The sequence below is a fragment of the Homo sapiens genome, chromosome 8 (assembly GCF_000001405.40).
Source record: "Homo sapiens chromosome 8, GRCh38.p14 Primary Assembly".
Taxonomy (NCBI): Eukaryota; Metazoa; Chordata; class Mammalia; order Primates; family Hominidae; genus Homo; species Homo sapiens.
The window spans coordinates 57527988-57552002 of record NC_000008.11 but is presented as its reverse complement, the minus strand read 5'-3'; the positions used below and the strand labels follow the sequence as shown (position 1 = coordinate 57552002).

General features: G+C 39.2%; 1 long non-coding RNA gene across 1 annotated transcript in view; it reads right to left on the bottom strand.

Annotated features, from left to right (window-relative positions):
• Window positions 1-337: 337 nt before the first annotated feature.
• Window positions 338-24015, bottom strand: part of LOC105375855 (uncharacterized) — an 88963-nt gene continuing 65285 nt past the window's right edge. The window contains exon 3 of the long non-coding RNA XR_928920.3: window positions 338-6534. This is a non-coding gene — a long non-coding RNA (uncharacterized LOC105375855). The remainder of the gene's footprint in view (window positions 6535-24015) is intronic.

The window sequence follows — 24015 nt, the reverse complement described above, 5'->3', positions numbered from 1 at the left end:
ATCACAATCATAGAAATTATGAACAGTCCTTTCTTTCCAACTTTTGCAAATCTCCTCCTCTTCTGTTAGTTTTTGCTTATGCCACAGAAAACATATAAAAGAACTCATAACTCATTAACTAGCAACACCTACAAGTACACTTGTGTGTATGCACTTGTGAAGCCATACATGTCCTCAAGACATGATTAACCTAGGTACTGACAGTCTCGTTCAGTTATGAGGGTGAAGCTCAGGGTCACAGCAATGCAGATCACGTCTACACATTCTAAGGAGGCCCAGCCCCTGCTGCTGAAGAACCCATTGTTCTTTTCAACCAAGTTCCTGTGAGCTGTTTCACCGGTCTTCAAATATTTTATTATTCATTGTGGTAAGTTCCCTTACATATAAGGATCAAAGAAAAATGTCACTGCCTAACAAAAAATGGAATAATCATTTGAGAAGTTTTTTCCAAATGTATGCAGATTTGTATATGCATTTAAACTGACAACTACTAAGTACCCAGGATCTACCTGGAATTCTGGATTTGAACACAAAAGAAAACTTCCAAAATGCCATACTGCACCACCCTATAAGGGCCCGAGCCTGTTAGCAGTTTAATGATACCTGAGATCTTTAAAGAATCCATTATCAAGAAAACAATAGCATATTTCAACTCACTTTGATGATCTGCTGCTGTTTAGGTTCTATAATGTGTGTATCCAAGTGAGGGTGAGTCAGCAGCAGGAAGAAAGCTAATTAAACACTTTTCAGATTACATTATCGAAAATGAGGCTATCTGGTTGATTGTCGCAGTGGGCATTGCAGAGTGCTAAAGCTTCTCTGAAAACATAGTGCTGCCAGTGGGAAAAACATAGGATTAAAAATGCCACAGTTGACATCCAAACACCAGTTTTTCCATGTGACATCTGAGAAGAAAGTTTGTCACTTGACCTTAACATCATTTTAAAAAGAATAACCCATAGTTTTGAATAATCTATGGCATGAAAAATCAAGGTCAACTTTGAAAACGATGAGCAGCCCTTTTTCACATAAGACATTGTTTGTTGAAAGAGACTTGAACAGAACCTTCAAAACAGCAGAACGTTCCTTTTCCATGTGGATCCTGGGGTTAAAAATATTTTATGAACTCAAATTTTCAAGTTTACCCATGTCTTAGTCAAGGTCCTTAGTTGTAAGCAATAGAAATTGGCTGACTAATTAAGCAGGAAAACAAAATACCCAGGAGTTTATTAAAAGATATTGAATAGTGTACAGAATGGTTGGAAAGGCTGGAGAACATCTTTGAGGCTAAGCTAGAAAGAATATATTTAAATCCCTCAGTGCAGAACCGGCCTGTGAGGAAACTTTGCCTGCTGCAATTGCCACAATCCCATGATGTCACTTTGCACCTCTGACCTTGGAAAGCCAGTTCGCTGGCTGCAAAAGGATTCCTCAGGGCGTCACTTTCATCCCATTGTTTACCTTAAAACAGCAGTCTCTGGAAAGAACTGTGATTGGCAGATGATAACCCAGCTTACCATCTGCACAGGAGATGGGAATTATACATTTTTGGATTATACCTGGGGGGTGTGGTAAGTCTCTTTCTTCTAGAATTTTTCTAGAAATAGCCCAAAATATCCTGCTGACAGAGAATATAATCCTGTATTTTGAGCGATCATCTAATTTATTCAGCAGATCGAAACACTTTTGAGAGTGAAAAACAAGATGCTATCAAATAATTACTCCAGGAAAAGAGGTATAAACTGCATCACTTCAAGTAGAAATTATCACCTGGTTATAGTGACAAAGATTTCATGCCTGGGATACATTCTCAGTGCTGCCACAAGTTTTTTACCGTCTACCAGGTTGGCTGCACTGCTCCCAGGTACAAGGCCGCAGCTCTACAGGCATCTGCTAGAAGCTGGGCAAAAACACCAGGTGTAGGACCAGAAAGGGTCATACTGCCTCAGAGTCCTTCTGACATGATCCAGGTTCTCACTGGAGGAGAGTTGGTCCTGTGTTCCTCACCACGTTTATCTGCTAAGCTCTCCAAATTATGCACAGTGAAAGCATACTAACTTAAAATCAGTATATTTCAAGTGATCTTGCAAAGACATTGAAAACACTGCCACAGATGCCCAGATAAGTCTATTTTTTTCTGGTTTAAACTGGAAGGCTAATCCAATGGGGAACTCATGTGAAGGTGGAGGTAGAAATGTGTTTCTTTTAACCCTTCCCATTTCTAAATTAATTGGTTAGTTTCTATTGACATAAGTAAGTGGCTACAAATGGAACCGATTTTGGAGTAACTAACTGGTCAATAGGTGAGGCATTGCTGAGACCATGAATAGCAGGACTGGATGGGTGAGCGAGCAAGGTCACCATAAGAAGGGGTCAGAAAAGGCTGCAAAGTTCTCAGGTTAATGTGGATGATTTAAATGCTTAGTACAAAACCTATCTTTAAAAATTGATTTCCTGAACTTTACATACATTGATCTTATTTTCTTAGTTATTCTGCTTCAAAAATTAGTATGAAGACTTCCACAGAAACATTATTTTTTCTGTCAAATTTTACTACAGTCACATGTTGCTTAATGACAAGGATACATTCTGAGAAATGCATCATTAGACAATTTCCTTATTGTGCGAACATCATAGAGTATGCTTACATACACCTAAATGATCAGAACCTATATAACCTACTACAAACCTAGGCTATGTGGCTCCTGGGGTATAAACTTGTACAGCATGTTACTTTACTAAATACTGAGGCAATTGTAATACAATTGTTAAGTATTTGTGTATCTAAACATAGAAAAGGTAATGCTTTGCATTACTACATTGTGATGGCTACAATGTTGCTAGGCAATAGGAACTTTTCAGCTCTATTATAATTTTATGGGAACATGGTTTCATATGTAGTCCATTGTTGACTGAAATGTCTTTAGTGGCGCATGACTATTCCATTTTTATATTAAGAAACATTTATTGGTTACCTGCTCTTTCTGACAGTCATGGAGGTTAAAGTAATGAATATTACAGTGTTCTTGCTCCTGAGATGTTCTCTGTCTAATGGGACAATGGATATGTCAACAAGTGTGCTTCATGACCTTACAGGTGACTTGACTTTGAGCTGAGTATTATTCAAGCATACTCAAAATGACAAACTATTGGAGAAAAATCACATACACGTTGAACTACATAGACAAAGGATGGAAAACACTGCTACATTTAATCCTAATACCTGCAAATAAGAACTTAAAATAAAGAAATATAGAAAAACGACTAAATTTTTGGTTAGTTTTTAAAATAAAATAACTAAAAAACCCCCACCGCTTTTCTAAAACACAGATGTGGCCATTTCTGCAATAGATTTATGGTCCTTTTACGACCCATTAAAGTCACTGTATATGACTAATCACAGACCCAGAAGCCCAGGCAATGAGAGCCAAGAATTAGTCCTCCCCAGGGTCCGTTATTCTGCTCAACTGAACTGCTGTGAAAACAAGTTGCATTATCAGGGCTTTTTTTTTCAGCTGATTCTAAAAATAGTTTGAAGGCAGAAAGAAAAAGAAAGGTATTGAATGGTTAGATTTGAAAGCTTGACTGATAAAATGAAATTTTTTCTAAAAACCTTAAAATTAAGTATTATTATAGTTTCTCTTCAACTGTGAAGTATCTGACACTGCCCTAAGTGCCCACTTTTATGAAGGATAACTTTGTCCATTGACAGATGAGAAAACGAAGATCCGAAAGTATTCAGGGCTTTACCTAAGGTCACAGAATTTAGTAAAATAACTGGGCAACAGAGTAGAGACAATCAATCCTCAGATAACCCAGAGTAACTTTGAACTAAACAAAAATCAATGTTAAAATTTTTAAATAAGCACAATAATTGGCCAGTGGCCTCTAGCTTGCCTTTATGGAATAGGAGTGCCCATCCTGGTGTTTTTTGTTTTGTCTTGTTTTTGTTTTTGTTTGAGTATGGTGGTCTCAAATTTGTTTCTACACCTTGCCACACAATGATATTTAGACCTCACAGAGGATCCTCTAAAAAATAGTGATTTGTCCTAGAATATTCAAATCTTAGACAAGGTCACACAGAATCAGGCACAGCCCAGCTATACCACCTACTCATCCATTCAATAATATTTACTTAGAATTTGTGTGTCAGGTGCTGTTCCTGATAAAGGGAATGCATGACCATGTGAGTGATTTATAAGTGTAATTTTGTGACAATTCATAGATAGAAATTAACATTTAAGGAAATCAAGAAACTAAACACTGATCCTCTTCTCTTAGGACCGTAGAGATATTTAGCAAGGTATGGCAATATGCCTGCTTCTTATTTTAGGTATTGATTCACATATTCATCTAACAAATATTTACTCAACAACTGAGCCATGCCATGCATTGGCTAAACCAAGCATGCTGAGAAGTTGAAGGGCCTAAAAAATGATATGTGCAGTTCAGCTCTCACTCTTTATTTAAAGAACAAATCTTACACTTTCTGTTACATGCAAAATTAACTTTAAGATAACCATTCAAGGGTTACTTTGTGAGAATAAGAGGCAAAACAACTAGGGTGTCTACTTGGGGGGTGGAGTGGTAGAGTTGGTTACTGAGGTGAGATCAAGGAATGTATTGACTATGGATATCACAATTGTTGTTTTGCTTTGCTTGTGAAAGAAGAGGTTGAGAACTACCTTGAGATTACCTACTAATCTTTCATCAGAAATGGTCACCATGGTATTGGTATAGCAATAAAGTCAGCATTAACTACTTAATGTATAAGAGTCCTGGGTCTCTTTTCGGGGTTCAAAAGGCTGAATAGCAGCTTATCTCTGTTGTTGAAGGTCAACACAAACATGATTATGAAAGCCCCTAAACTTTCCCCAAAAGTAGAAACATATTACATTTACCAAAGCATTTAAAGCAAAGAAAAATGAGATCCTTTCCAGTCTGTTGCATACCCCTTCAAGAATAAAGGATTCTTGATGGCTTCCTTGCTATTGGACATGTGCCTCCCCTCTTGCTGCAGCTCCATCTTCAGGTCCATTTTGCTCATGCAAATGGAACACGCAAATGTGGACTAGCACCTCCTCTTTGCTGTGTAGTTTCAAGTCAATCCTCTCAGGCAGACCCTCTCACAAAATTGAGATGTGCTGACATTTAAAATGCCAGGCTGTGTTTATTGAGCAAGAGGGTTCATAAAAGTTTATTTTGTCATCACAATTTAAAAGACCAAACATCCCCTTGGCAGCATTGCTCGGATGTCTAAAGAGCCTCACAGAGAGTGTGAACTGATGAAAATTCCTGATGAAATGTTTATGGAAGCAGCAGGGCTGGTAAGGAGGCAAGTGCTCTAATCAAAATGACCACCCTGCCTGTGAAACATTCTACATTCAAGTTCCTTTCATAGGGCCAGGGCATAAAACCTGATCATAAAGTGCATAGCTAATGAAAGAAATATGCCTTTTAATAGGCACAGTTGACCCAGTAAACTGCATGGGGTTGGTTCATAATCTTTCATGGCCATTACATCTTGCATTCATTTCCTCTCTGTGGCTCTCATCGCTGCATGTTCTATGCCTTCATGATCCTGCTCAAATTCCTCTGTGAGTGGATTCCATCCCCACATAGACCTCACCTCCCTGTGAGCTTTTGGGAAAGAGTATTTGTACTTGCCCTGTGGCATCATGAACTACTCTTTATTGTGGTGTTCGCTCCCTTCAAATAGCCTTCACACTTCCTGAAAGCAGAAATCGTTGCTTAGAAAACTGTGAATTCTCTACTCTTATGTTCAATTCATATTAATTTACTGAATACAGGCAAATCATTTCTATGTTAATTGTTAAAAATTCATTAACAAATAAAATCATGAGGTGCCACCAATCCACACCTCCATGCTCATGGAACATGGCATGACCTGGGCAGGTAGGAACAAGGGTGGTGGCAGATCATGGTGACATGAAAGGGGAAAAAATGCAGGAAAGCATGGGTGGAAAACCCCAGATCCTTTGAAAACTATGGCCATTCTTATCATCAAAAGAGTTGAACACAAATAGTAAGTACTTGAATGTAACAGAGATGGGGCTGCTCACTTTATGTGAGACAACAGGACAGAGATCATTGGCTAAGAAATGGCTCTGGAGTGACTGCATTAGAAAAAGACTGAGTGTGAAAAGCTGGCACCTCACCAACATAGGACCACCAGTGTCCTCAGTGATCAAGGATGCTGGTCAAGACACAGTTCTCCTCGATGAGCTCTAATGCCAATCTTGATCTGCTAACAAGAGACACAATGGCCTTTCCTCTCCCATCATGGGCAAAGACAGACATTTTTCTGTACATTCTATGTGCAGACATCTTCTAGAATATGGGAGGCACAGAGAGTGAATAAGCCCAGGTTTTTCAAGTGGACTTCTGCAGGTGTTTTTTGGTTTTGTTTTGTTTTGTTTCAAATGCATTGTATCTTTTCGGTGAATTTTCCACAGAATTCAACCTGGCTGGGCTTTTTCTGGCCTTCTTTGGAACATGTTTGCCTCACAAACACTGCAAGTAAAGAGAAAACAATGCAGAAATAAGTTAACTATGGTAACTTAAGGTACATATTGAATACAATAAATGGATATGAATATTTACTATTCCAACTGACATTTTCTGTGAACCAGTCAGGGAATGACAAAGTGTGTTTGCATAAGATTTTGCAAGTTAATCAAATGCGTTCTTAACCAATCATAAAACATTTATTGGTACTGCTTTGTCCCTGCTTTATTTTGTGACTTTCAAGCTCTATTTCTAAGCTGTCTTCTTCCCTCCATCTGCACTGCCTCCATCTTTTATTTGGTCACAGTTTTGTGATGACCTCTGTTTCTTCTTGGCCCCCACAATTCTGTTCACACAGCACCCAGAGTGCATTTTTTAAACATACATTAAATCATGTCACTCTTTGTTAAAATCATTTCATGAATTTCCATTGCATTTAAAAAAAAATTCAAAGTCCATAGCACGGTGTACCATGTCATGTCAGTAAAATAAAACGGTAAACATTATTATTTAAGAAGTGTAGTTATTGTGGCAGTTGCGAGGATGGGTTGAGGAAGGAGGGGACCAGAGCAGGTTTTGAAATGAACTGATGAGCCCTGAGGAGGATGTGAACTGGAGCTAAAGCTATGCTGAAAGAACAAAATAGATAGGTTGCATTAGGAGTCAGAACTGGTAGACCAAGTGGGCAATGAAAATGATAAAATAGGAAAATTAGCGAATGACTTTTAGGGTTTTGATTTTAAATAATTTATTGATTGCAAAAGAAAATTCCTGAGAAGGAACACGTGGCACATAGCACAGAGGAAGAAAGAAGAGAAAAAGGAGAGTGAGAAGCATTGGAGGGACATGGAAGTTATTTATTAACAAACATTCAGGGAGCACTTGCTGTGCGCCAGGCACTTCTCCAAGGATTAACAAATGTTAACCCATTTAAAGCTCCTAACAGACTTCTAAGGCAGCTGCTATTACTACTAGCCGATTTACAGATGAGCAAAATGAAGCACAGAGATGATATGTAATTTCTCCAAGATCCTACAGCTTATAGCTGCTGGAGCGGAGATTGAGACCCGGTTGGGCTGGCTCCGGAGTTTATGTTGGAATCACTCTGTGGCATGGTCTCTCTGAGAGGTCCCCAGGTGGGAGAGGTTCAGGTTGTGCTCAAGGATAAGCAGATCCAGGTTACTACAGAGGCCTGGATAGGTGTGAGTCATGCCCAAGGTGAATGGTGCGAAAGCCCCGGAGTTCAGACTACAGTCCCCTTCCAGAGTCCTTTCTGATATACCATGCTGCTGCGTGGAATCAAAATACAAAAAAAAAAAAAAAAAGATAATATTTGTGAATGCCAGATATAATTTCAGAGTATTATAGATAATACAGGAAATATTCACAGTTGTTCGAGGAAAAAGATCAGCAATGAACTGGCAGAAAATCACTGAGATCTAGTTCTCTTCCACAGAGCACTGCAGCTTGTCCATTTAGGAAGTCGATGGATGTAGTAGCCACATGCCTCACACGATCACAGATAGGTTTTAGATTTCAGAATCAGGTACATTCAAAGTTTGCAGCCAATGGGGATCAGGATATGTGATTTTTATTTATTTATTTTTAATTGTGGCAAAATACATGAGATAAAATTTACCATCTTAACCATTTTTAAGTACATAGTTCAGTCAGTAAGTACATTCACATCGTGTACAGCCATCTCCACCCTCCAGCTCCAGAACTGGTCATCTTCCCAAACTGACTCTCTCTACCTCTTACCCCCTACCCCTCCATTACCTCTTCATCCCAAGTTTCTGGCAACCACTATTCTACTTTTCATCTCTAAAGATTGGGTGATTTTTCTATTTAATCTGGTATCTTCTCTGTGAGACTCACAGAGTGTAAGGTGCTGAACTTGAGGGTAGAACTGAACCCTTCCTAAGGAAAATAAAAATAAACTTCACTCCATAGCAAGACAAAACAAAACAGAAAACCCTTTATGGCTTCTTCCTGATGGTCTGTACCTCTCCCCCATCTACCCTTTGCCCACCCCAGTAATGGTCCTGGGGCAGAGACTATGACTAATGAGAGACTGTTCCAATATTAAACTCCCATATACTAAGGCATTGGGAAATAAAGAACTTTTTAATATGATTTCTCTATGAAAACCTTTCACTCATTTAATCCAAAGATGCCCTTATTAGTAATGGCTCTGAACTTAGAAACCTTTGAACTTCTCTAGGTATCAGGAAACTAAAGATCTTTAATTTAATAGGAGAAACCACCCCTTCTCTGTAACATTTCAGTGAGAGCAAATCTATGCTAGTCACATCAAAGAAAAGATGTGTGTTGGAGATGTGAATGTTCAAAATTTGCATACTTGATAATGAAATACGCTTAAAGAAAACAGAGAATATAGGCTTTGGAATGAGTCAGGTGTGAGTTGAAATCACAGGTCTGCCATTGAGCCATAGGGTGGAGTTGAGCAAGCAAGTTTATTCTTCTGAGCCTTAATTTTCTCATCTGAAAAATGGGAATAATAGACTGACCTCACAGGCCCAGGTAGAGAATAGATAGGATAGTGTGTAGAAATGCCTTGAAACTCAGTGGGCATTCTATAAGTGCCATTTTTCTATAAGTGCCATTTTCCCCCAGGTTGTATTTCTAGTATGACACATTTTTGCTGCAGATTTTTATTTATTTTCTGAGGTTACATAGAAATACCCCAAAATGAGATGATATCCTGTAATATAATTATTTTACAATGCTAACTGAATTAAGTCCAAAGAATCTTTTTTATTTTACTCTGAGATTTCATAAGAAAGAAACATATATATACACACATATATATGTATGTAATATTACCTCATATATAAGAACTTGCCACAAGGGAACAATGTTTGCCAAGCAACTTGTGGCAGTACACCTGCTCTAAGGACAGCATCTGTCATGTTGAAAGTGGTGACACCTCAAGAGGCAAGAAGGTCTTCAAAGCCCTGCTGGACTCTCAACACAGGCAGGTCTATGGGGCCAATGCCACATTCCAGATCCCCTATATGTTTTCCCTAATAAGCTGAAACTTCCTTTAGTATCAGAAAAGCATGTGAAAAACCCTTAACATTGTTTCAGGAAATAAATTAGAGTTTAAGGGATTATAGAGGAGACTCAAGTGTCTCTAATTTCCACCTGGTTTTAATTCCACATATTGAATTCATACCAACTCGAATTAATTTAACGAAGGTGTAAGTTCTGAACAAATATTAACCAGGCTGAGGCTCTCACATACCAAAGACACTGCTACAAACCACTCGTTTCCCATGGATTCTTGTTTCACCTGATGAACTCACCTAGGAATGGCAGACTCCTATGGTTGTTCTGGCTTAATGAGAGCAATGCAGCTCTTCTGTGGAAGAAATGCTGGCAATACAGTCAACAAGCTGCATTTTAGGAAAAATCCATATGGGGTCGAAAATGATTTAAAACAAAGAACAAGAAATAAAACACTAAAGTTATTTTAGTTTGACGTAATAATAAGTCTAATGTTTGGATGTTTTGTGGTTTTCATTTTCATGAACCAAGTCAGGCTCACAATGGCAAAAGGGCAATGAAACCAGCTCAGATGTCAGCATTAACCAAAGCCTCCCATTCCCAGGTGTGTGCAACAACCCCTGCTGGTCTGGATTCCTTTCCTGCTTCTTCACTTTCCAAGTTTCCCTTCTTTTAGTCTTAGAGATCTGACTTATTCTGCTGTTAGGAAACCATTTTTTAAAAAAATTTTGCAAAAGGGTTGCTAATGGTAGAATGATTTATCAATTTTCACAAATACAGTACCCTTTCTTCCTCAACTTGCCCCCGCCATACATCTGTAAGATGTTACGAAAGTAACAAGTAAAAAACTTTTAAAATTACCAAGTCTTTCAAATATATATGTGTGTGACAGTATGTGTGTTTGACTATATATACACACATGTGCCTATAGTACATGTATATATGCAAATATAAGTGTGTATATGTGTATACACATACATATATAATAATACACTATATATATATATATAAAATTCAATTTTGTATATATACAATCCTGGATTTCCTGGACTTTATTATTTTATGTACTTATGTTCATTAAGAAGTTAGTGTTCTCCCCATATCCCTTCTTCCTTTTTCCTCCCATGGTATCTGGGCTAAACTTACCCTACACTATCCACACACATCCCACACTTCCAGGTTTGAGGAGGAGGAAAGTTACCATGCTTTGACATTGTATTTAGTTATAATAACAGAATTCAGGCAGGCCAAAAACTGATCCCAAGAAAATTACCTTTTTTTAATCCTAGTTCTTCAGCAACCAGGTTGCTGTGTGTGATGGTGCCTTTCTGGCAATGGCACTGTTATAGTGGGTAGCTCTGCAGATGTGAGCAGGGCAGGAGAGCCCCCATCCCCCTCATTAGGAACGTCAGGATACCATCAGCTGATGGTCAAGTGGTTGTTAAGCTGTCTCGCTAAAATAATAATTGGTCACAGCTGCTGCCAGGGAAAGGCCATCTCCCAATAGATAGAAAACACCTAGAGCCAGTGGTAATCAACAGCTTCCTGATAAGATCTCAGGAGTTGGACAAGTGGGCTCAGGCATGCACACTAAAAGGCAAAATGGTGGAATTTAACTGCTCTATGAGCTTTCTCTAGGAACATTCAACTGGCAAGGGAAAAATGCCTCAAGTGAGCATGTGCACAACTTCGGTAAACATAATACACATGCAACACATGCATAATACGCATGCAACCACTCCCAAGTGCTGGCAGGCCACTGCTCATGTGGATGGCCCACCCCAAGGAAAAATCGAGGGAGGAGAGATACAAAACCCCAGAAGCATGCCAATGTATGAAAGCCCAACTCAAAGGTCAAACAGGGCACTTGAATCTCTCAAATCACCCACTTGGCCCTCTTTCAAGTGTACTTTACTTCCTTTCGTTCCTGCTCTAAAACTTTTTAATAAACTTTCACTGCTGCTCTAAAACCTGCCCCTGTCTCTCACTCTGCCTTATGTCCCTTGGACAAATTCTTTTCTTCAAGGAGGCAAGAATCAAGTTGTGCAGATCTGCTCAGATTCACCACTGCTAACAGCACCAGCTCATCTGAGTGACAACTGTGGAATGTTTTGGCTCACACTAATAAGCAAGTAAGACTGGGCTCCTGATCCCGCCATAACTTCTGGAAACAAGAATGAGAGCCACTCCTCTGTATGGAAAAGATCAGGATTGCAGTAGTTTCCAGTGCAGAATTTTTTCAAGGTTGATGATTTTCTTTTATTAAAATCTTTTTTGGAACTCATCCAATTCAACTGCATAAAGAATATCAGAGATGGCTGGTATGATTGGCTAAATGGAATATTCAGAAGGGTCTAGAGTAGAGCCCTGGGGAGGGTATTAGCATCACAACTGTCTTCGTAAAGTCTTCACAAGAACTACAAGGAGCTGGCCAAAACTCAAAGTGAATGCTCTGAATAACATCCTATTGTCTACTCTGAGGTTAAAGAGGGAACTTCATACAGAATTTGTTTATAAAAGAATATTTATTAATTTTTTTGAACTGAATGATCATTTCAAGACACTAGCACCAACTGTAAGGTAAATACGCATTTTAGGAAATTTTGTTTTTTTAATCCATCTGCCACAATCATTGGGGATATTGCATTTCTTTACTGAATTTGGATTTTTGAGAATACATAAATTTTATTTATTTTTTGTCAAAGAACTCATTTAATTTACATATTAAAAGCACAACTCATACTTAGGACCTGCAACATTTTCTTTCTGAGTGACGTTTGAAAGCAGAGATAAGCATCACTCTACACATCAATATCTTGTTATTTTCTTACCCAGTTTAAACTGAAAATGGTTAATCCACTCTTGAGGGAAACACACATTTCCTGCTGAGATCTTCCAAGTCTGATTTCCAAGGGAAATGCACACAACTCTTCTGATTCCCAGCCGATGGCCAGCGGTCCTGTTCTCTCCCAGTGTTGGCATGGTTGCCCACACTATTGTGCCTTCCCCACGTTACGGTGCCTCTCCCACCAATGTTGCTGCCTTGCCTGGCTTCACATCTTCCCAATAGCGCATAGCATTCCTGGGTGTCCTGATCTACACATAACTCCAGTGTATATGTCAGTCTATCAGTTAACAGCAGCTAAGTTAATAATTTTTTTCTTATTCTCATATTCAAGATTCTGTGATCAGATCACAGGTGACTCCTCTATCTGGACTGAGAATCAGTATTTAATCCTGATTTTATTACTTATTAACTCTGTAAACTTGCACATGCCTTAAACTCTCCAAGCCTCAGTTTTTGCATTTGTAAAATAAGCAAATTAGATTAGATTATATCTATTGTGGCACCCAGCTCTAAAATTTTATGTTTCTAATTATTTAATATCTGCAATGGGCATAGTAGCATTAACTATTATGTCATGCTCCCTCAGCTGGGTGGCCTAATTTTACCCCACACTTCTCATTAAGTCATCATCCTACAGTGTCACACTGGACTTTTCTTCCAATCATTTTCCTTTCTCTCTCAAAGGCTAATTTGACTGACTTTGCAAATCTGTCAATTTTCCTTAGTTTACTAACTTTATGGGATCCAAGTTACACTGTTAAAAGGTAAACTCAAACAAAAGACTAAACTTGCATAGCCAGAGAATTTTGAAAAACAAAAGTAATAAAGTAGATCAGCCCAAATAAATAATAGGGGGACAATTCAAAGCTATACAATTAAAGAAATTCAGAACTGATGCAGAAATATAATGTATGGGGCCAAAACAAGGCTGGAAAGAAGGCCAAGAACATATGGAAACTTATATTATAATATTGAAACTTCAAATAAGCAGGTAAACTATGGATCAACTGTCTACTCAATTAGAATGAATTAAAGTTGAAATACTTATACCTCATAGCAAGATAAATTCCAAATGGTACAAAGATGTAAATATTGTTAAAAGTCATAACCATCTTAGAGGATGTAAATATATTTTAAAATATAATACCAATAAGTATAATTTCTAAGCATTCCATGAAACTTAGAAACCATAAAAAAGTTAGACAAATTTGACTACAAAAATTTTAAAATATTTATGAGAAAACAAATTGAAAACAAAGTTAAAAAAAAAAACAAGGAAAAACAACTACATCACACATGACAAAGGCTAATTTTATTAACAAAGATCTCTTACAAATAAATGTGAGAAAACCTAACCCTCAGAAAAATGGGCAAAGATTGATCACAGGAAAAAATTATGTAGATGGCCAATAAACAGATGGGCACAGATAAGCCTGACTGATGCCTTTGGCCTCAATCAGCAACTCTATGTGTGGTGTGAGAGGGAGGAACAGGGACCCTCATTCCTAACGGCTTAAATTTTAACCTCCTGTCTTCAATTTTCAGCTGTTTGGCTTTGGACAGCCAGCTAACCAGTTCTGCGCCTTGGTTTGGAGAGAGTAATAATAGTATGTATATCCTATGATGGTTTGAGAATTAAATGAATCAATATTTGTTTGGGATTGAGTCAATATTTGTATGGGATTTATAGTATTCTAAATAACATAGAAGGTAATTTTTGGAGGACAATTTATAAATGTCAATATTATAAATATCCCTACTCTTTGGCAATTTTTCCACTTTCAGAAATTCATTCTACAGATTTACTCTGTAGAATCATACATACAAGGTTGTTGTATGTATGATTTTAAAAATAAAAATTAAGGAAAATATCAAAATGCTCATCAGTGAGGGACTGGCAAAAAATAAATTTTGGTTATGTTAAGGAAGGCTGCATAGTCTTTGAAAAGAATGAGACAGGTCTATATCTATTAAAACAATAAAATATCAGTTTATATTGTTTAGGGAAAAAGAAAGTTGCAGAATAAAAATGTGTTCTGTGTGTGTAAGAGAAAGAGAGTAGGCTATGGGGCGAATGTTTGTGTCTCCCCAAATTCATTTGTTGAAGCCCTAATCCCCAATGTGAGGATGCTTGGAGACAGAGCATTTGAGAGGTGATTAGATGATGAGGACAGAGCCCCCATCATGGGATTAATGCCCTTATAAGAAGAGATGACAGAGATGACCTCTCTGCCACATGAGGACACAGCTCTGCAAACCTGAAAGAGGGCCCTCCCTAGGAACTGAATTGACTGGCACCTTTATCTTAGTTTTCCCAGCCTTCAGAACTGTGAGGAAAAAATTGCTTTTAAGCCACTCGTAGTCCGTGATATCTTATTACAGCAGCCTGAGCTGACTAAGACGTGGTGTGTGTGTGTGTGCGTTGTGACATCAGAGAGGATCTTTACCAGCCCTGAGGGGATTTACCTCTGAGGCTGAAACTGGCAGGGAGGAAGCAGAAATGAGGGGGCTGGGGATGCAGAGAAGGTATAGCAGGCACGGAAGACTGATAGAACTAGCAAGGAAACACACATGCCACGCTGAATAGGCCCTTTCTCCTCCAGGAAGATTTCATTGACTACTATTTATTAATACTCGCAATAATTGCAAATCTTTCTATAGCGCTCACAACCTGCCTGGAATAAGTATTTCATATATATTAACTTGCTTGTCATACATCCCTATAAAGGAGATTCTTTGGTTACTCTTCTTTTACATATAAAGAAATCAAGGGAAAGAAAGATTAAGGAAGTTGCCCAAGTAACAGAGCAGGGAGGAGAAGTGCTGAGATTTCACTTGGGAGAGCTGGTGCCAGCATCTACAGGACAACCCCCACAAGATAAAGTGGCAGAGGACATGGGCCCAAATCTCACCTCAACTGAAGATTCATTTTGCAGCAGTCTGCATAACAATATACCAACCACAAGTGAAAATAAAATGATGTAAGGCTTGTGCTACTGGATTTTATTTCTTCATATTCAACACACATTGGTATTTTCCTAGGAAATTATTCTGGGAATTAAAATTTTTGGTTTCTGCCAGCCGCAGTGGCTCACACCTGTAATCCCAACACTTTGGGAGGCCGAGGCGGGCAGATCACCCGAGGTCAGGAGTTCGAGACCAGCCTGGCCAACATGGCAAAACCCTGTCTGTACTAAAAATACAAAAATCAGCCTGCCGTCGTGGTGGGCACATGTAATCCCAGCTACTCGGGAGGCTGAGGCAGGAGAATCACTTGAACCTGGGAGACGGAGGTTGCAGTGAGCCGAGATTGCACCACTGCATTCTAGCCTGGGGGATAGAATGAGACTATCTCCAAAAAAAAAAAAAAAATTATTGGTTTCATGCCCAATTTGATCCTTAGGAGAGTCTTTAATAAGCCAGAAGCCTCTTCTCCTTCTCCGGAATTGGTGTGGAGGGCCCACCAGGACTGGGTGTCTCTGTTGCTGGAGGTCCTGGGACAGTAACTTTCCATCAGACTTCTCTGCTCCAAGGCAGGCCCAGCTATCCCAGCAGGGCCAGGGCTCTGGCTCCAGAGGGCGGCGCTGCAAGAACCATGCACGACAGAGTCCCCGCATTTTCCCTGAGCCTCCCTGGGACCGCTGCTTTCAGAGCACACACCCTGACCTGGGCTGGCTTTCCTAAAGCTCATGCAGCTTCAGCCAAAAGCACTCCAACTAGAACACATCCTGAACAGTTCAGCACCTACTAGATTCTATCCGTAGTCTGGCATTTATCATTTTTTAAAGTAGTAATATCATAAATCAATCATTGACAATGACTGATAGTCCTCCTGGGTCCCAAGTTCCTACTCTTTATAGTAAATTAGAGGCTTATCGGGGCACCTTCATTTTTTTTTTTTCCAGATTCCTAATTTAATGCTGAGGCTATCATTACTTCACCTCCCTAAAGCAACCAACACTCAGAAGCAATTTAGATCCTGGGAAATCTTTATGTAGCTCAAGCAAGTCACAAAACAATGTTTTTCTAAATTTTTCGTCTTCAGTAGAAATTTCTAAACATATATTGATGAAAAAATAGGTGGTGGGAACTTTGAGGACTGATCCAAATGTCATACATTTCATATCAAGCCAGATCAGTAACAGTTGGTACCAAGATGCCAGTTTGATTGAGGACATAAGTTATATTCAGCCTATCATTTGGTTTCCAGGACTCCAGTCTCCGAGTTACTCTTATGCAGTTCAAAGAGAAAGTTGTTCAGAAGAGCTGTTATGGTGTTTAAAGAGACTCACTGTAAGGAAAGCCAGGAGATGGCTGGCCAGAATTATAAATGAAAAAAAAAAAATGGTAAATGTGACTTGGCAGGAAATGCCTGGAAAATGTGAAGTGAGGAGGGAGTGAGGAGGCAGTGTCAAAGCAAAGGCAGTATTTGTCAAAAGAAGTGAAAATTATGGCATTGCCAAGCTACTTCCAAACCAAATGGACAATGAGCAGAGAATAAAACTGGCTTCTGAGGGCTTTAAATAAATGTTCTGTTTTCACAACAGCCGCCTCTTCCAAACCATTGGCTATCTTTAGTTGGAGGATCACCTGCAGTCTTATTTGCACATCTGTATTATAATTTAGGTTTATGGTTTATATTCACAGATTCACTGCAACCTTCTATGTTTGCTATAAAAATGAACTGAAATGAGCCTGTATTTAACTATAAGAAAATGAAATTTTGAGGACATAAATAACAATAAAGAGCATATGACAGTGTCTGTATTTATAGCCAAACACTTTATTTTGGATGGGACAGGAGGAGGAGGAAAGGAAAATTTAGAAATATCAATAAAGCTTTTTCCTATGACATGTTTTTAAAATTGTAAAAAGCTATATTTATGTGCTTCTGGAGGTGTTATATAATTATATGGCTCTCCTAGCATTTTTGACCACAAAAAACCTAACTGTTGTCTGGGAGATCAGAAGGATAGAATCCACCCACCTCTGCAGTGTTAATTATCATCCAATATCACAGAGTTCTTCTTCCCCTGAAAGGTTTCCTTAGGTTCCCCACTGGCTACAAACCCAAGCCCAGCAGTTCACAGACCTCACCTAGCCCTTCATTCACTCAGCCTAGCTCTGCAGTTTTGCCTCAGCCTCTGGTCCTTCCAGCACATCCTGCTTGATCAAATCAAATCGTCTCCATCACCCGAGTGTGGCACGTGCAGATGCTGTTGTTCCCTGTGCCCACCTGGTAAATGCTCAAACAAAACATTTTCCTTCATTTTCCCATCGAGGAGTGAGCTCGCTCTTCTCCTTGCTCCCTGGGATATCCTTGCTCCCTGGGGCCTCTGTTCCTCACTCTGTTACACTCTTATGTTGTAATCATCCATGTATTTTTCCATCATCCCTATTAGACCCTGAGCTTCTCAAGTGCAGGTGCTACGTCTTATTTTGAGGATAATTCAAAATACCAGAGGGGCCCGGATGAGCTTGATTTGCTTGATTCCTAGCCGTGATCTAATGATGGTACTTTGCAGCATAGCAGAGTGATATTATCTCCACCCAATGAAAACATTCTTGATTTGACAACTTTGTCCAGTCCTCAGAGCAGGATTAGATTGAAGCCTGCTTTGAATTTGCACCACCAGAGTGATTTTTTAAAATGGTAATCCCCGTGCCAGCTGCCTGTGTATAATAACCTTCCCTGCCTTGCTAAACCTCCCCAGGAACCCCGAGCCCTTGGCTATACCTGAGGAAACTGCACCTCAGGGCAGGTCACTGAGCCATCTGACGGCTCCTGGGTGGAACACAGGGTGCCGAGGTGGGTGCTCAGTTGTGTTTGATGCCAAAACCAGAGCTCTCCCAAATGTTCTTGGAGATCGAGTCAAACTCCTCTGCTGGGTTTGTAAGGGACATTCATCACTGGCCCCAGCTTATTTCCCCAGCACAGTTTTGCATTCAGCCCTCTAAGCACCAGGTCTGGTTGGCCACCTTGAGCCAGCTTCCATTTCTGCTGTACATCAGGCTGCCCTCCTTCCCGGGACTGAGCACAGTTTTCTCCTAGACCAGAACACCCCCTCCCTGCCCGCTATCCTGAAAACCCAAAAAGTAGAGAAAACATATTGGATTTTCTCTGTCATATTGGATTTTTGTATGCATCAAGGTTGAAGATTTTCAATATTGGAAGTGTATAATTATCCAAAAAACCTTGAGTTTTTGGTGAATGTAGTTCATCAAACTGCATTATATATTAACAAAAGTGTTAGATGGATAAGTCTTCAACTTTGAAATAAGATTAAACAAGCTTTATCTCTGTGACAGAGAAATAGCATTACTTCATTTAATTCATGCAAAAAAAGTCATCATCTTGATATTTAACCAGTGACACAGCAAATATCATTGTCTGAAATATTAAGTAAGGTGATTGGATTATTTGTGGTCTCCTTATTTTATTGAATAGATTGTTAAAAGTTTTCTCAGGCAAAAAGAGCACAGAGACTTGCCAGTTAAAGGTGATGGTTATGGTACTAGTGTAGGTACCAAATGATGTTTTTGTATATGTAAGTTGTATATCTGGCCAGGTGTGGTGGCTCACCCCTGTAATCCCAGCACTTTGGGAGGCCGAGGCAGGCGGATCACAAGGTCAGGAGATCGAGACCATTCTGGCTAACACGGTGAAAACCCATCTCTATGAAAAAACACACAAAAAAATTAGCCAGGCGTGGTGGTGGCCACCTGTAGTCCCAGCTACTTGGGAGGCTGAGGCAGGAGAATGGCGTGAACCCAGGAGGCAGAGCTTGCAGTGAGCTGAGATCACGCCACTGTACTCCAGCCTGGGTGACAGAGCAAGACTCCGTCTCCAAAAAAATAATAATAATAAAACGTATATCTATCTATGCATGTAATTTTATACAAGGTAGTGATTTAAATAGTGAAAAGAATCTGACTTGTTAGTAAATACACTGCGACACTTCCTATTGAAATTCAGATGATGTAAAATTTTAGGTCATTTTGGTTTGGTGTTTTTAACTCCATAGCCAACTTCCCCCACTCAGTGTCACTATCTATTCAATGTAGAAACAAATATTATTTATAGGTAGTATTTTAAGTACAAATAGTATTTGTAGGTAGAGACAAATACTATTTAACTGATTGGGCCGGTCATCCTTATTTCTCCTGGATAAGACATGAGACATCCTTTATCCCACTGGTAATTTAAATGATCTCTCTCTTTCCACTAGGGAGCCATGGAATTCTATCCAGAGTGAAATACTGTCCTATCACTGCACGTGATTGCAGAAGGCAGAATTGATAGCGTTCACACTCATAACCAAAAATTTTCAAAGTTACATCTTCACCAAAACTTCAATTCTGGCTTTAACTTCTGACCTGCTTATATAATCTCTTGATACGATTTGTAGATTTCTTTCTAGTGGTTTGGGAAAGAGAAAGTAAATGCGTTCTTGGGTCCAGAGACAATATAACTCATTTTTTACAGGATTCTTACAAGAAGGATCTTAAAAATCTGTTATATTTGGAGATAGACCTAAACATTTAATATGACACTCTAAAATGCTTTACACTTTTTTTTCAGCATTTTCCACTTTTTTCTTCCCTTATGCAACCCTGTGAGGCAGGGCCAGGTGAATTAAGATAATTCAGCAGATTTTACAGATAATTAAGTAAGCTGGGAGAGGCTGATGCACCAGCCCCAGCTAGTGAGTGGTGGAGCTAGGAGGGAATTTAGATGTTTTGAGTCTTAGCCCTCAAACTCTGCCTGAACTGGGAGGTAGGTTGTGAGCTGCTTTATGTAGTGAATCTCTAAGCACACTAAGCTACTAGGCAGAGTCTCTAATTTCTCCTGCTAAGGTTTTCATGAGTCACATAAGTGTCAGATAACACAATTCTCCAAAGCAAGCAATACTAGATCAGTTGCCTCAATCTGCTGGGCTCAAGAGATGTTCTAAAAGGTCTCTGTCTCCTGGGACTGCTAGCCTTGGAAAAGAGGATGAGAAGCAAAGAAATGAAGAACAGAGGAGGAAAAGGCCTTGAAGACTAACTCCATCAGTCTTAGTTTTGCTGCAGCTGGCTCTAGTCGAACTAAATTATCACTGCTCACCTACCTCAAAGGAGCTAGAACAACAAATATTTAAATATTTACCAGAATCTACAAATTGCATCTATACAGGAATGCACTGTGACTAGGTGGCTTAATTTTAAAAGACCAGCAAAGCAGGCTGAGGACAATTTTGCCAACAGTACCACATCTATTGCCAGTAAAAAGGTTATAAAAATGAACAGGAAAAGTCGTATGTGTTCAATACAATATAAGCAAATTCAGGCAGCAAATTGATCCAATTATCCTGAGAACTGAAACTCAACCATCCTCCCCCGCTCCACCCCACATTCACTCAATAACTACCACCATCATTCTTACTTTGCCTCCAGACCCACCAAAGGAAAAATAAAATTACTTTTGACATAATGATCTTCGTAAGTAAAACATAAAACATTTGAAGGTCTGAATTATTTGGCACGCCTAACTTTTATTCCTATATTCTGATTTTGTTAGTCTCTCTAACATTTGTCAGAATTTTAGAGTTGACTGTATTGAGTTATAATAAAAACATTATATAAAACGTAAACCCAACACACACCCTTAGCAGCATTACCTCATTTAATTCATCTGCTTTCCTCCCTTATTGTTCTGACATGGCTGATTATGACAGACAGCTCCTTTTGGTGCATATCAGAGATGAATATGCAAAGAGGGCTGTAGCATTTACATATTTACCCATTTATGGCACATATTACCATACTTATGCTGCCAGTTAATGTCTGCAAGACAGGAATAAAAGAATTTTCAACTGTTTTACTGCCTGAAAATCACATTTGCCTCTGCAGGCTGCTACTTAAATCCTTTCAAGAGCTTCATGTTCTTATCCAGGCCCTTAAGCCCCAGGCCATGGGCTGCTGCCAACTCCCAATGCCTGAACACAAGGTCTATGACCCACTTAAGTTGAATTTCTATTCCAATCCTTTGCTTCCTCCACTCTACTTAGAGTTTGTTCAGATCCAGCAGCACCGGGCATTACCTCTCAAAACCCTGAGGGTCAATGACAGTGGGTGTCATTTATTTGTTTGGGGTTGGGGAAATAGAAGATGGAGAAGATGCTGAAAACTTAACAGTGTTGTAGTTTGAGGCATTTTAGCAAATGTCCTTAGGCAACATTAAGAAGAGGTGCGAGGTGGCTCACATCTGTAATCCAAGCATTTGGGGAGGCCCAGGTGGGTGGATCACCTGAGGTCAAGAGTTCAAGACCATCCCGTCCAACATGGTGAAACCCCATCTCTACTAAAAACACAAAAAATAAGCTGGGCATGGTGGCACATGCCTGCAATTCTAGCTACTTAGGAGGCTGAAGCAGGAGAATCACTTGAACCCGGGAGGCAGAGGTTGCAGCGAGCCGAGATTGCGCCATTGCACTCCAGCCTGGGCAACAAGACAATAAGAAGGAAACTCCATCTCAGAAAAAAAAAAGAAATTCCACCATTTGCAAATATGTATTATGATTTTGTTCCACGGTTAGGTGGGTAAGCTAGCACAGTAATGAGCACAGAGAAACTGCTCAAATATATGTAATTAAAAAGCAAGATTCAAAGATTTATAGATTCTGATTCACATACTGATCAACATCAATAACCAAACTAAGCAGAAAATTTCCAAGTCCTCCCCTCACTTATGGCCACATAGTCAAGTGAATAGTGACACATGAAAAGTCAAACCAAGTAACTGAGTAATTCAGGCCATAAGATCTTCTACTATAAGATTTGTGAACTTTGGTGCACAATTTTCAACATTATATTGCAGATATATATATATATATAATTATATATAATTATATAATATTGCAAATAGAAATATATATTTATATATAATATTGCAGATATAAATATATAAATATATTATATATATGCAATATAATATAATTATATAATATAATATAATATATATATAAAGATTTCTAAGTATTTCCAACCTTTTTATAAAAATATACAACACACACATTATTTGAGTAGCAATTCAGATTATATTTTATGAGAACACATTTACTTAAAATAGCAAAATAGGATAGTAATTACGCTTGCCTGATGTTTCTTATTAACTGCACGTGCAGTCAATATCTGTTCAGAGTCAGCTTCTAGAGATGCAAAAGGCCAAAGTAAACAAGGGCCACGGACAATGATGTGCCTTTCTTTATATCTGGAAACAGATCAGAGCAGGAGACCACAACAGAAAGCACAGTCTACTCTGCAGAGATCGTCTGGAAAAGACTCAGGCTCTCTGGGGCAGGGAGAGGCACTGCCATCAAGCCAAACAGAGCAGCAGAGGTGTACATAAGCTATTAAGGCTGACATGCTACTTTTTCCAGATATGGCCAGAAAATTGTTACAGTGTGGTGTTAGAGATGTTAATAATTCTCTCAATAACCAAGGAGAGAAGGTATATATCCCCATATGCCATATATCTATCTCATATAAATCTTATATATGGCATATATATGTCATATATGTGAGAGATTCTTGTTCTTGCCTATGTGAACCCCGAAGATTTGAGACAGGTCTCAGTTAATTTAGAAAGTTTATTTTGCCAAGGTTGAGGACCCATGCCCATGACACAACCTCAGGAGGTCTTGATGACACGTGCCTAAGGTTGTCAGAGCACAGCTTGCTTTTATATATTTTAGGGAGACATGAGACATCAATCAACATACGTAAAATGAACATTGGTTTGGTCCAAAATGGTGGGACAACTCGAAGCAAAAGCAGGACAACTTGAAGTAGGGGAGGGGGCTTCTAGGTCACAGGTAAGTGGGAGACAAATGGCTGCATTCTTTTGAGTTTCTGATCAACCTTTCCAAAGGAGGCAATCAGATGTGCATTTATTTCAGTGAGCAGAGGGATGACTTTGAATAGAATGGGAGGCAGGTTTGACCTAAGCAGTTCCCAGTTTAAATTTTCCCTTCAGCTTAGTGATTTGGGGGTCCCCAAGATTTATTTTCCTTTCACACCTATTGTATTAGTCAGCTCAGGCTTCATAACAAAATACCACAAACTGGGTGGTTTGCACAACAGAATTTATTCCTCAAAGTTCTGAAGGAACCAAGATTAGGGTGTTGGCAGGTTAGTTTCCCTTGCCTCTCTCTTTGGCTTATAGATGGGCATCTTCTCCTTGTGTTGCCTCATGGCTTTTGCCTGTGCTTGTGTCCCCCTGGTGTCTCTCTCTTCTTATAAGCACATCAGTCCTGTTGGATTAGGTCACACACTTAGGACTCCATTTAACCTAAATTGTCTCCTTAGAGGTCCTGTTCCTAAATGCAATCAAATTGTGATTTAAGGCTTCAGTGTGTGATTTTTTGCGGGGACACAAGTCAGTCCATAACACCTACTGTAGGACAAAGCTGAACTGATCTAAATTACACTCCTGAAGCTTCCTGTTTAGCATGTTTGAGTATGTTGAATTCACTTTTGAATATCTCCCTATATGAGTTTGGAGGTTGTGGCCAGCTGTGATATTATCAATACCTGGGATTTTTGAAATATTTTGTCACTTAAAAGGC